Source organism: Homo sapiens, chromosome 3, assembly GCF_000001405.40.
Source record: "Homo sapiens chromosome 3, GRCh38.p14 Primary Assembly".
NCBI lineage: Eukaryota > Metazoa > Chordata > Mammalia > Primates > Hominidae > Homo > Homo sapiens.
This window is the reverse complement of record NC_000003.12, coordinates 136,028,987-136,043,508: the sequence shown is the minus strand read 5'-3', so window position 1 is coordinate 136,043,508 and position 14,522 is coordinate 136,028,987. Positions and strand designations below refer to the sequence as shown.

General features: G+C 40.0%; 1 protein-coding gene across 9 annotated transcripts in view; it reads right to left on the bottom strand.

Moving 5' to 3' along the window:
- Positions 1-14,522, bottom strand: part of PPP2R3A (protein phosphatase 2 regulatory subunit B''alpha) — a 182,167-nt gene that overhangs the window by 104,386 nt on the left and 63,259 nt on the right. For all 9 annotated transcript variants that reach the window (XR_001740196.3, NM_002718.5, XM_017006787.3 and 6 more), the window contains one exon: positions 2,547-2,650. Coding sequence is in view for 8 of the 9 variants with exons in the window: in NM_002718.5 (NP_002709.2) it covers positions 2,547-2,650 (104 nt within the window). In the remaining variant the exon portion in view is untranslated. The remainder of the gene's footprint in view (positions 1-2,546; positions 2,651-14,522) is intronic.

Sequence of the window (14,522 nt, the reverse complement as noted above, 5' to 3'; positions counted from 1 at the left end):
TGAGCAGTCTGACATGAGAGAAATTATTTCCCTATATTCTGTTTTTTTTTGAGATGGAGTCTCGTTCTGTCACCCAGGCTGGAGTGCAGAGGCGCGATCTCGGCTCACTGCAAGCTCCGCCTCCTGGGTTCCCGCGATTCTCCTGCCTCAGCCTCCTGAGTAGCTGGGACTACAGGTGCCCGCCATCTTGCCTGGCTAATTTTTTGCATTTTTAGTAGAGATGGGGTTTCACTGTGTTAGCCAGGATGGTCTCGATCTCCTGACCTCGGGATCTGCCCACCTTGGCCTCCCAGAGTGCTGGGATTACAGGCGTGAGCCACCACGCCCGGCCATTTCCCTATATTCTTATGACTTTTATATTTGACTCTTTTTTTTTTTAAGATTATGTAGAGCTACTGGAGCAAATCAGCATATATATGTATTTTCCAAAATGTTTTAATTCTGTATAATTACCTGTTAGCAATTTTTTTATTTGAAAGTTTTAATATACTATACTTGAGCCCACATTGCTTTATGCAAATGTTACAAAAAAAAAAAATTACAAAACTAAACACGTCTTCTCCAAGGTCAACGTGGTAACTCACACCACCATGTTTAGCTGCTTAGTCTCCCAAAATAGCCACACTTGGGGCTCCCTTCAAGCACCCTGGCTTTTAAAAGACATTTTAAGAGCTCAAAGAGGAGTTTCCACTAGAGGGCACTCAAACCATTTTAATATCTGACTGTAAAATAACACTTTAATTTAGAGACACACTTATCTATTCATAGAATTTTTCTGATGAAAAAAAGACAGGGATAGTTGCTCATGCTATATAACTTCATAAGCAATTTTCCTGCAGTTAACCAAAATGGAGACTTGTACTTCATGTCTTTCCCCCGCTTTTTGCGTTTTGCAGAAATGTCTTCCTTACAGATAAAATTTAAACAATTCATCTGAATAAAATACAGCTATTGTGGTGGTGGCTATGATCTATCCACCAACATACACTCTTTTTAAAAAAATTTTTTTATTTTTAAGTTCCAAGGTACATGCGCAGGATGTGCACGTCTGTTACATAGATAAACACGTGCTGTGGCGGTGTGCTGCACCTATCAACCCATCACCTAGGTATTAAGCCCAATATGCATTAGCTATTTTTCCTAATGCTCTCCCTTCCCTCACCCCACCCCAACAGGCCCCAGTGTGTGCTGTTCCCCTCCCTGTGTCCATGTGTTCTCATTGTTCAGTTCTCACTTATGAGAATACCCTCCACCAACATAGACTCTTTAGTTCTAATGTGATGTATGAAGAACTTGAACTTGACCTGCTGCTAGATTTTTAAAAATAAGAATACATTTATTAATCACCTACTATATTCTCAAGCATTATCCTATTAAGGGCTTTTAGCTGAAATGAAGAAATTAGAAAGAATCTGTCTGTTCAATCTGCTGCTATTATAGGTTGATGTTAAATAATAATAACAATAGGTGAGTAGCATTTCCCAATAGTTTACCAGGAAGGATATTTAGCTCAGAAAAGGCGAGAAGAACATGCATAACAAGGGTGCTGATCAGTTAAAAGAGGCAGAAGGGGCAAGCTGTGATACTTAGCTAAGATGTATAAATATACCAAAAAATAACTCCTAAAGAAGAAAGAAGGGAGAAAAAAGAGATAAAGAAGAAAGATGTTGGGTTTGAATTCAAGAAAATTTGTCAGAATGTTAGAATCCAGGAAAAGCTTGATAAATATACTAGTCCTTCAGTTCCTTAACTGGAGCTTTCAAAAGGTAATGATTAAAATCTATTAGAATTCAGTATTTCTAACAAATCAACTATATATAATTCTAAATTGGATCTATGGGAATGAAAATGTATTTCCCATGTGACACATCTGATTTGCCCCCCATAAAGGGGAGTTCCTTTTTGCTTATTTCACTGCTGCCAGATTCAAATCCTGAGACCCAAATTTAACAAGTAAAAGTGGCTGGGTGTGGGGTTCACACCTATAATCTCAGCACTTTGGGCAGCCGAGCTGGGAGGATTGCTTAAGGCCAGGAGTTTATGACCAGCCTGGGCAACAGAGTGAGATCCAGTCTCTATAAAAATTAGCCAGGTGTGGTGGTGCCTGCCTGTAGTCCCAGCTACTTAGGAGGCTGAGGTAGGATTATCACTTGAGCCCAAGAGTTTGGGGCTGCAGTGAGCTATGATTAGGTCTCTGCACACTAGCCTGGGCAAAAAAGTGACATTCTGTCTCAAAAAAAAAAAAACAAAAAAAAAAACAAAAAAAAAAACAAGAAAAACCAAGTAAAACTAATAAACTATCAAATAGTTTTTAAAGAAAGATTTCTGCAGATCTGCTTTACTGTTTTTTAAAGAGGTTAGATAAAGGCTTGTGGCAAAGAACTTGTATGTGAGTATAAATGGTTGTAAATCATTGAATTTTCCTTGTTGATATAAAGAGTAAAGGGAAAATGTATAAATGAGTAAAATAGGTGACCTTTAGAAAGCATGTCATGAGGGTCACACAATTCTTTGCCTAGCTCCAGAGAGACTGCTCACATACTTACTTTCTCCACATGGCAATGAATGACTGTGCTGTCACAAATCCTGTCTTCTCTCCCCCTGCAGCCCTGAACATGGGGGCTTTCCAATAGAGAGGACAGCCACAGACCTGCAAATAGAAAACACATACAGGGTAAGCCAACAGGGAATGAAGAGATGACACGGCCAAAGAAAAGATCTTTGTGGCTTTTACCCTTCATGCCACAGTGGATGGAAGAGCCCTCAGGAGAACAAAACTGGAGCATAGGAAAATATATCAACTAGGGTAGATTCAGAGAGAGGCAGAGGGGAAACAAAATAAGAGAACATGTTCAATGAAGAAAACGGAAATTCATTTATGTTTTCTCCAAGTCCATTTAAAGTGATTCCCTCCTCCAACCTGACAGTTAAAGCAAACAGCATCCCTTCCCACCACTTTCTTCTTTTTTGAGACGGAGTCATGCTCTGTTGCCCAGGCTGGAGTGCAGTGACACAATCTCAGCTCACTGCAACCTCTGCCTCCTAGGTTTAAGCAATTCTCCTGACTCAGCCTCCTGAGTAGCTGGGATTACAAGTGCCCACCACCACACCTGGCAAATTTTTGTATTTTTAGTAGAGATGGAATTTCACCATGTTGGCCAGGCTGGTCTTGACCTTCCGATCTCAAATGATTCACCTGCCTCAGCCTCCCAAAGTGCTGGGATTACAGGCGTGAGCCATTATACTTGGCTTACCACTCTTATAAATTTACTACCTTCTAGAAAGAAAAAGAAATGACTGAATGTCACAGTTGTAATATATGTCCTTCATTCATTCCTTAAGCAGAAAATAACTTCGTGTTAATATTCCACTACCTATCTCCTTCTCTCTCCTTTGCCTATTATGTTATTAAGTCCCAGGTTCAAGAAGAACCAGAAAATCCTAGACTGCTCAAGAAAACAGCTATCATATCTATTTAAATGGTTATAATTCAGGTAAAAGATGAAAGGTAAAATGCTATAATTTATTTATATATTAGAGGCTACCACAAATGATTACAAAGCCTTAGGAAAGACTGGAAATGAATATAAAACAATTTTAGTACCCTAAAAGGTATTGATTTTTCTCGATAAAAAGCTCTTCCTTTCAATTAAAAAAAACCTGAAGGAGAAAAAATTCTCTATGAAAAGGGAGGTAAATTTAGTAAGAACTCTCTTTCTCATGAGAGTAAAAGGACAATTTATTTTTAATTGAAAGGAAGAGGTCCCCAAGTCCCAGGCCATGGACACATGGAGAGGTAACAGTCCGTGGCCTGTTAGGTACTGGGCCACACAGCAGGAGGTGAAGGGCAGGTGAGCGAGCAGTACCACCTGAGCTCCACCTCCTGTCAGATCAGTGGCAGCATCAGATTGTTATAGGAGAGTGAACCCTATCGTGAACTGTGCATGCAAGGGATCTAGGTTGTGCACTCTATCTAACGCATGCCTGAGGATCTGAGGCAGAACAGTTTCATCCTGAAACTACCCCCACTCTACCCCCATCCATGGAAAAACTGTCTTCCACAAAGCTAGTCCCTGGTGCCAAAAAGGTTGGGGACCGCTGCTGTAAGTAATAATACAATCGTTACTATTAGCAAAGAAATAGTCTCCAAATCATCTCAATTTCTACACACACAGAAAACATATCCCAAATGTGGAACTCTTCAACAAGTCACATTTTGTTATGAGATAAATATGTTATTATTCACATTAGACCCAGGATCTGTTGCGCCCTCATCATTCTACAGAGGAAAAGCCTCTCCTCTAGAGGAAGACTAGATGTGCATCCACCTTAGGCTTAGGTGAAGCTGCTCCTGGTGTGAGACTTCAGTGCACAGGGGACCCCCACAGGAGCCTGAAGAGTACCTAGTCTGACATTAGTTATCCTGAAAGAACATCCAGGCTGCTGGGTTCATGGAGATATGGAAGGCAAGATTCAAGCCAAGGGAGGTAAGGACAGGGCAGAAATAAGAGGCTGCTACTGCCAGGGCCACTAAAGCATGTCTGCAAGCAGAGCAGAATTTAAGATTTTTTAAGTCCAGAGGTCGAATATCTCATACCTCCACTGGGGTCAAGAATGAGGGAAAGGTGTTGCTTAGCAACCATGTGATTTTGTTTATTGTATACATAATTATTACCAAGGTGCAAAGCTCACAATTAATATACTCTGGCTGTATAAGCTGTTGAATCCACTTTCCCCAATCCTAGACTCTCCTTTCATGCAGAATGGTGGTTTGCCAAGAAAATGCTCTTAGACAGTCTTAGTGATGGGCTAGTGGCAACTACTGGGAAAGAATCGTCTGTATCATGGAGGCAGGGTGAATGGAGCCACAAACAGACGGTGTGCGGAGACGCTGGAACTGGCTTACCAAAGTGCTTCAAACTCCCACCATTAGAGTCACTCATGAATTTTTCAGAACTGGAAGGGATCAGGAATCTTTTAACTTCCTGATCAGAAACACTTCCAGGGGCTGTGTGCTTACCACCTTCTGTGGGGTAACTTCCACTAACTAAGCAAATTTCATTCTCTTACAGTCTTTTCTCCAGAAGACTCCTATTAAAATGGATATACACCAGCTCATAAGGAGGATTAAGTCTCTGAAGATTAATAAACTTATTATGACCCAGAGGCAAAATCCTCAGAGACAGGGTACAGAACAAAGATGTTCTGAAGTAGACTGGAAAAGGTCAGCCTATTGTTCTCATAGTGGGGTACCCTGAGTAGCCAAGTGTTATACAGCAGGAGGGTATTATGCCCTTGGAAAAATGACAAAGGGAAAAAATGGGAAAGGCAGAATGGTAAGGGCTATGGACATTACACTCTATTAAAAAAAGTATGCTAGCCTGCATCTGCTTAAAAATCAAAGATTTAAGGTAAAAGGAGCCAGGAGATCAATAAGAACCTAAACAGTAAATGGTATTAATCTGAAGGCAAGAAAATAGCACTTTTATTAATAGAAGAGAGAACAAGCTTTTTCTTGTTGAAGTGTGAAGTGTGAATACTGACATTTTGTTTTTGTTTTTTTTTTTACAAAGGAAGAGTGGATAGCAAGTGGGTATACACAGAGATACAGAAAATAGATTTAGGAAACTTATTTTTAGAGGGGGAGGCGAGTCAATATATGGTAATCAAAGTTCTGGAGCAAAGAAAACTTGATCAACACCTACGATTTGATCTAAGAATGGCCAACAAAACAAATAATCCAAAGCAAGGTTGTCTAATGATACACATAGGAGAGGATGATTACCCAATGTTTGTAATCTTCTTTCAACATTTAAAGATGTCTCAGGCTTGTAATTTCATTTGGCCTTCACGTGATCCTCACATAGATGAGGGCAGTGATTTTTTTAATCCCATTTTACAGATGAAGAAATTCAGGTACAGAGAGGCTACCTTCCAGGCCACAGGTGTGATGGGTAAAGATGGTGCTATGTCAGCCAGAAGACAGGAGCTGCGGGGCTTTGTATGGTTCAGAAAAGAGTCTTATTCCTTTTCCTCAACTTTCTGCTAGAAGTTAAAACTCCATGATGAATCCTTTGGCCCAGTCTCTGAAAAATGCATTTCTTACTGTTTCTCTGTTTCTGTTCCTAAGTTGCTTTCATTTCTCTGAGATTCATTCTCTATTCTTTTCTTCTCTATCATTACTTAAAGCTGTGGAAAAACGTACAAACTACACACTGAGAATTTAACCAGATGTAAGCATTAAGTTCTTCAGGGCTGTTTGAGGTCTAAGATGAATGAGCTAAACTTCACCAACAGATGCAGATTCCATAAACACAGAGTTTTCTAGGCACTTAAAAACAGATCCCAGTCTTTACAGCTACACTTGAGTGCCACTAAGAGTAAGCGGCAAACTCAAGCTGGTCTTCCAAATAACTTTATAAACTACAAGAATCCATAAGAACATTCATTTATTGCTCTAACAAACTCTCTCCTCCTTACTCCTTAAAGGTTGCCTCTCTTCTCCTCTTTCCTATGCCAACCTATCATAAGAATATGAACAGTAAGTGCTGGAGACACAGAGCTCACTGCCTGGTACCAGAAAAGACTTGCATGCATAGTAAAGAACTGTCGAAAATAAGGATGACTTAGTGAGTACTAATAGACTGCAATAGCCAAGTAAAAGCTAAATTAAAAGAGAATTAGGAGTAATAAAAAGTCTCTGAGGACTGAGGGGATCATGGTGGACGGGAGGCAGGACTAGACTGCAGCTCCAACTTGGGACAGACAGAGCAGTGTGTGGAGGCTTGCAGTGAGAATTTTCGCTCCAGAACAACTGCAGGAATAAATCAGGAAACCTGAGAAGACCCACAGACCCCCTGAAGGAAGCGGACTGTTCCTGTGGGACCCAAGAGGCACCCCAAATACTGTGCTGGTATACACAGCTGAGAGACCCACAGAGGGTTCACATCACAGGACGCTGTGCAGACAACCCCCAGTAGCAGTCCAGAGCCTGGACTTGCTGGGCGGCTAGATCCAGAAGAGAGATAACAATCACTACAGCTTGGCTCTCAAGAAGCCACATCCATAGGAAAAGGGGGAGAGTACTAAATCAAGGGAACACCCTGTGGGACAAAAGAATCTGACTAACAGCCTTCAGCCCTAGACCTTTCCTCTGACAGAGCCTACCCATATGAGAAGGAACCAGAAAACCAACTCTGGTTATATGACAAAACAATGTTCTTTAATACCTTCAAAAAATCACACTAGCTTATCAGCAATGGACCCAAACCAAGAAGAAATCCCTGATTTACCTGAAAAAGAATTCAGAAGGTTAGTTATTAAGCTAATCAGGGAGGCACCAGAGAAAGGCAAAGCCCAATGTAAGGAAATCCAAAAAATGATACAAGTGAAGGGAAAAATATTCAAGGAAATAGCATAAATAAAAAACAATCAAAACTTCAGGAAACAATGGACACACTTATAGAAACGCAAAATGCTCTGGAAAGTCTCAGCAATGGAACTGAACAAGCAGAAGAAAGAAATTCAGAGCTCAAAGACAAGGTCTTCAAATTAACCCAATCCAACAAAGACAAAGAAAAAAAAAAGAAAATATGAACAAAGCCTCTAAGGAGTCAAGAATTATGTTAAACGACCAAACCTAAGATTGATTGGTGTTCCTGAGGAAGAAGAGAAATTTAAAGTTTGGAAAACATACTTGGGAGAATAATTGAGGAAAACTTCCCCAGCCTTGCTAGAGACCTAGACATCCAAATACAAGAAGCACAAAGAACATCTGGGAAATTCATCACACAAAGATCACTGCCTAGGCACACTCTCATCAGGTAATCTAAAGTTAAGATAAAGGAAAGAATCTTAAGAGTGGTGACACCAAAGTACTACGTAACCTAAAAAGGAAAACCTATCAGATTAACAGCAGATTTCTCAGCAGAGCCCTACAAGCTAGAAGGAATTGCGGCCCTATCTTCAGCCTCCTCAAACAAAACAATTATCAGCCAAAATTTTGTATCCAGCAAAACTAAGCTTCATATGTAAAGAAAAGATAGTCTTTTTCCGAAAAACAAATGCTGAGAGAATTCGCCACTACCAAGCCACCACTACAAGAACTGATAAAAGGAGCTCTAAATCTTGAAACAAATCCTGGAAACACCCAAAACAGAACCTCTTTAAAGCATAAATCCCACAGGACCTATAAAACAAAAATGCAATTTAAAAAACAAAAACAAAAAACCAAGATATACAGGAAACAAATAGCATGATGAATGGAATGGTACCTCATATCTCACTACTAATGTTGAATGTAAATGGCCTAAATACTCCACTTAAAGATACAGAATTGAAGAATTGATAAGAATTCACCAACCAATTATCTGCTGCCTTCAAGAGACTCACCTAACACATAAGGACTTGCACAAACTTAAGGTAAAGGAGTGGAAAAAGACATTTCAGGCAAATGGACACCAAAAGTGAGGAGTGGCTATTCTTATATCAGACAAACTTTAAAGGAACAACAGTTAAAAAAGAAAAAGAGGGACATTACATAATGATAAAAGGCCTTTTCCAACAGGAAAATACCACAATCCTAAACATATATGCACTAACACTGGAGCTCCCAAATTTATAAAACAATTACTAATAGACCTAAGAAATGAGACAGACAGTTTAACACAACAAGAGTGGGGGACTTCAGTACTCCACTGACAGCACTAAACAGGTCAAGACAGAAAGTCAATAAACAAACAATGGATTTAAACTATACCCTGGAACAAATGGACTTAATAGACATATACAGAACATTCCATCTAACAACTGCAGAATATGCATTCTATTCAACAGCACATGGAACTTTCTCCAAGATAGACCATAGAAGAGGCCACAAAACGAGCCTCAATACATTTAAGAAAGTTGAAATTATATCAAGCACTCTCTCAGACTACAGTGGAATAAAACCTGAAATCAACTCCAAAAGGAACCCTCAAAACCATGCAAATACATGGAAATTAAATAACCTGCTCCTGAATGATCACTGGGTCAAAAATGAAATCAAGATGGAAATTAAAACATTCTTCAAACTGAATGACAATAGTGACACAACCTATCAAACCCTCTGGGACACAGCAAAGGCAATGCTAAGAGAAAAGTTCATAGCCCTAAACGCCTACATCAAAAAGTCTGGGCTGGGCGCAGTGGCTCACGCCCATCATCCCAGCACTTTGGGAGGCCGAGGTCGGTGGTTCATGAGGTCAAGAGGTCGAGACCATCCTGGCAAACATGGTGAAACCCTGTCTCTACTAAAAAATACAAAAATTAGCTGGGTGTAGTAGTGCGCACCTGTAGTCACACCTACTCAGGAGGCTGAGGCAGGAGAATCACTTGAACCCAGGAGGTGCTGGCTGCAGTGAGCCAAGATCACGCCACTGCACTCCGGCCTGGCAACAGAGAGAGATTCTGTCTCAAAAAAAAAAAAAAAGAAAAAGAAAAAGAAAAAAAGTCTGAAAGAGCACAAACAGACAATCTAAGGTCACACCTCAAGGAATTAGAGAAACAAGAATGGAACAAACCAAACCCAAACCCAGCAGGAGAAAGGAAATGACCAGGATCAGAGCAGAACTAAATGAAATTGAAAAAAATAATACAAAAGAAAAAAAATACAAAAAATAAATGAAACAAAAAGCTAGTTCTTTGAAAAGATAAATAAAATTGATAGACCATTAGCAAGACTAACTAAGAAAAGAAGAGAGAAAATCCAAATAAGCTCAATAAGAAACAAAACAGGAGATATTACAACTGACACCACAGAAATACAGAAGATCATTCAAGGTTACTATGAACACCTTTACACACATAAACTAGAAAACCTAGAAGAGATGAATAAATTCCTGGAAAGATACAACCCTTCTAGCTTAAATCAGGAAGAATTAGATACCCTGAACAGACCAGCAACAAGCAGTGATATTGAAATGGTAGTTTAAAAATTACCAACAAAAAAAGTCAAGGACAGACGGATTCACAGCCGAATTCTACCAGACATTCAAAGAAGAATTGGTACCAATCCTATTGACACTATTCCACAAGACAGAGAAACAGGGAACCCTCCCTAATTCATTCTATGAAGCCGGCATCACCCTAATACCAAAACCAGGAAAGGAGGACATAACCAACCAAACAAACAAAAACCTACAGACCAATATCCCTGATGAACACAGATGCTAAAATCCTTAACAAAATACTAGCTAACTGAATCTAACAACATATCAAACAGATAATCCACCATGATTAAGTGGGTTTCATATCAGGGATGCAGGGATGGTTTAACATATGCAAGTCAATAGATGTGATACACCACAAAAACAGAATTAAAAACCAAAATCACATGATCATCTCAATAAATGGAGAAAAAGCATTTGATAAAATCCAGCATCCCTTTATGATGAAAACTCTCAGCAAAATTGGCATACAAGGGACATACCTCAATGTAATAAAAGCCATCTATGACAAGCCCACAGCCAACATAATACTGAATTGGGAAAAGTGGAAAGCATTCCCTCTGAGAACTGGAACAAGACAAGGATGCCCACTCTTACTACTCTTCTTCAACATAGTACTGGAAGTCCTAGTCAGAGCAATCAAACAAGAGAAAGAAATAAAGGGCACCCAAATCAATAAAGAGGAAGTCGGCCGGGTGTGGTGGCTCACGCCTATAATCCCAGCACTTTGGAAGGCCGAGGCGGGCAGATCACGAGGTCAGGAGATCGAGACCATCCTGGCTAACATGGTGAAACCCCGTCTCTACTAAAAACACAAAAAATTAGCTGGGCATGGTGGTGGGTGCCTGTAGTCCCAGCTACTTGGGAGGCTGAGGCAGGAGAATGGTGTCAACCCGGGAGGCAGAGCTTGCAGTCTGCAGTGAGCTGAGATTGAGCCACTGCACTCCAGCCTGGGCGACAGAGCGAGACTCCGTCTCAGGAAAAAAAAAAAATAAATAAATAAATTAATTAATTAAAAAAAAAAAGAGAAAGTCAAATTCTCGCTGTTTGCTGATGATATGATCGTTTACCCAGAAGATCCTAAAAACTCCTCCAGAAAACTCCTGGAACTGATAAAATAATTCAGCAAAGTTTTCGAAGACAAAATTAATGTACACGAATCAGTAGCTCTTCTATACACCAACAACGAGCAAGCTGAGTATCAAATCAAGAACTCGACCCCTTTTACAACAGCTGCAAAAAACAAACAAACAAACAAAAAACATACTTAGCAATATACCTAACCAAGGAGGTGAAAGACCTCTACAAGTAAAACCACAAACCACTGCTGAAAGAAATCACAGATGACACAAACAAATGGAAACACATCCCATGCTCATGGATGGGTAGAATCAATATTGTGAAAATGACCATTCTGCCAAAAGCAATCTACAGACTCAATGCAATTCCCACCACAATTCCTATAAAAATACCATCAACATTTTTCACAGAATTAGAAAAAACAATTCTAAAATTCATATAGAACCAAAAAAGAGCCCGCATGGCCAACGCAAGACTAAGCAAAAAGAATAAATCTAGAGGTGTCACATTACCTGATTTCAAACTATACTATAAGGCCATAGTCACCAAAACAGCATGGTACTGTTATAAAAATAGGCACATAGACCAGTGGAACAGAATAGAGAACACAGAGATAAAGCCCAATACTTACAGCCAACTGATCTTTGACAAGGTAAACAAAAACATAAAGCAGGGAAAGCATACTCTTTTCAAACAAATGGTGCTGGGATAATTGGCTAGTCACATGTAGGAGAATGAAACTGATCCTCGTCTGTCACCTTTTACAAAAATCAACTCAAGATGGACTAAGGACTTAAATCTAAGACCTGAAACTATAAAAATTCTAGAAGATAACAATGGGAAAACCCTTCTAGACATTGGCTTAGGCAAAGATTTCATGACCAAGAACCCAAAAGCAAATGTAACAAAAACAAAGATAAATTGCTAGGACTTAATTAAAATAAAGAGGTTTTGCATGGTGAAAGGAACAGTCAGCAAGTAAACAGACAACCCACAGAGTGGGAAAAAGTCTTCAAGATCTATACATCTGACAAAGGACTAATATCCAGAATCTACAATGAACTCATATCAACAAGAAAAAAATAATCCCATCAAAAAGTGGGCTAATGACATGAATAGGCAATTCTCAAAAGAAGATATACAAATGGCCAATAAACATATAAAAAATGTTCAATGTCACTAATGATCAGGGAAATGCAAATCAAAACCACAATGCGATACCACCTTACCCCTCCAAGAAGAACCTTAACCCCTGCAAAACCACAATGTGATACCACCTTACCCCTGAAAAAACAAAACAAAATAAAACAGTAGATGTTGGCATGGCTGCAGTGAACAGGGAACATTTCTACACTGCTGGTGGGAATGTAAACTAGTATAACCACTATGGAAAACAGTGTGGAGATTCTTTAAAGAACTAAAAGTAGAACTACCATTTTATCCAGCAATCCCACTACTGGGTATCTACTCAGAGGAAAAGAAGTCACTGTAAAAAAAGATACTTGTACATGCATGTTTATAGCAGCACAATTCGCAATTGCAAAAATGTGAAACCAACCCAATGCCCATCAATCAACAAATGGATAAACTGGGGCATGTGTGTGTGTGTGTGTGTGTATACATACATACATACATACATACATACATACATACATACATACATATATATATATATATATATGTGATGGAATACTACTCAGCCATAAAAAGGAATGAATTAATGGCATTCGCAGTGACCAGGATGAGATTGGAGACTATTCCATGTGAAGTAACTCAGGAATGGAAAACCAAACATCATATGTTCTCACTCATAAGTGGGAGCTAAGCTATGAGGATGCAAAGGCATAAGAATGACACAATGGACTTTGGGGACTAAGGGGTAAAGGGTGGGAAGGGGTGAGGGATAAAACACTACAAATAGGGTGCAGTGTATACTGCCTGGGTGACGGATGCACCAAAATCTCACAAATCACCACTAAAGAACTTACTCGTGTAACCAAACATCACCTGTTTCCCAACAAACCATGGAAATAAAATTAGAAAAAAAGAGAATTAGCTAACTGGAAGACATGATTAAATCAACTTTTAAATAAACAATTTTAAGAATAAAGAGGCAAAAAAAACAAACTGACACACTCAAGATATCTTTTCAGGTAATTATATACACATCCCCCTCAACTTCCCAGGTAATTATATACACATCCCCCCCGCCCCAACTTTTTATTGAGACAGGTTCTCACTCTGTCACCCAGGCTGGAGTGTGGTGGTATGATCATGGCTCACTGTAGCCTCAACCTCCTGAGCTCAGGTGATCTTCCTGCCTCAGCCTCCTGAGTAGCTAGGACCACAGGCACATGTCACTACACCCAGGCAATTTTTAAAAAATTATTATCTGTAGAGATGGGGTCTCACTATGTTGCCCAGGCTGGTCTTGGACTCCCAGGCTCAAGCGATTCTCCTGCCTCGACCTCCCAAAGTCCTGGGATTATAGGCATGAGTTACTGTGCCTGGCCACGCATCCTCATTTTATAAAAATGCAGTGTTGGTTTTAACTTTTTAAAGGTATGTGCAGTTTACTTTGCTACCTGAACTGACAATTAAGATCTAAGAGCAATGAACAAAAAGGCTTGGTGCCCATGAATAGAATTTAGGGCTATAATGAAGTATAATTCAGACAAGTTAATCAGACATATATATGTATAATGGCTATTGCACCACGATTATTAGGTATAAGTAGCAAATTGTTACGTAAATGACTGTCCCTATGGCTAAACAAATTAGTTTTCTATCTTTTTAAACTTCTCCATGTTATCTGTCAGTTTCAACACTGCTGTTTTTTTCTGATGCCACATACAGACTGATTCTCACTGCACATAAATGGCAAAGTCGTTCCTCCGGCTCCCCACCTTCCAGAGACCTCTATCCTGCCTTGACTATATTCTTTTTGACACCTCCCTTGAGCACTGTGGAGTCTTTAGGCTTTCTGCTCTCCTCTCACTGAATCTGTGGAGTGCTAGCAAGGCCCCGAGCCACAGAGCAAGGCAGGGCTACCATGCCACAGGAATGGGAGGCCAGACCATAAAGGATGTGGAGGCAGAGCAGTACAAAGACACAGGAGAATGGGCTCCTCAGTCAGCAGTTGGGAATATTCAGAGGAAGAAGGGCTCTCCAGACATGATGACCTCAGCACTGTACCAGGGAACTACTATGCCCTAATCTGGAAAGTTTCTCTTTGTCTGCTTACCTGAGGCAATCCATGAAACCTTCTGTCTCTTTCACACAAATTGCTCTCGTGTTAGAAATACCCTGTTGGCGTAATCTCAGCACTTTGGGAGGCCGAGGTGGGCGGATAACCTGAGGTCGGGAGTTTGAGACCAGCCTGACCAACATGGAGAAACCCCATCTCTACTAAAAATACAAAAATTAGCCGGGCATGGTGGTGCATGCCTGTAATCC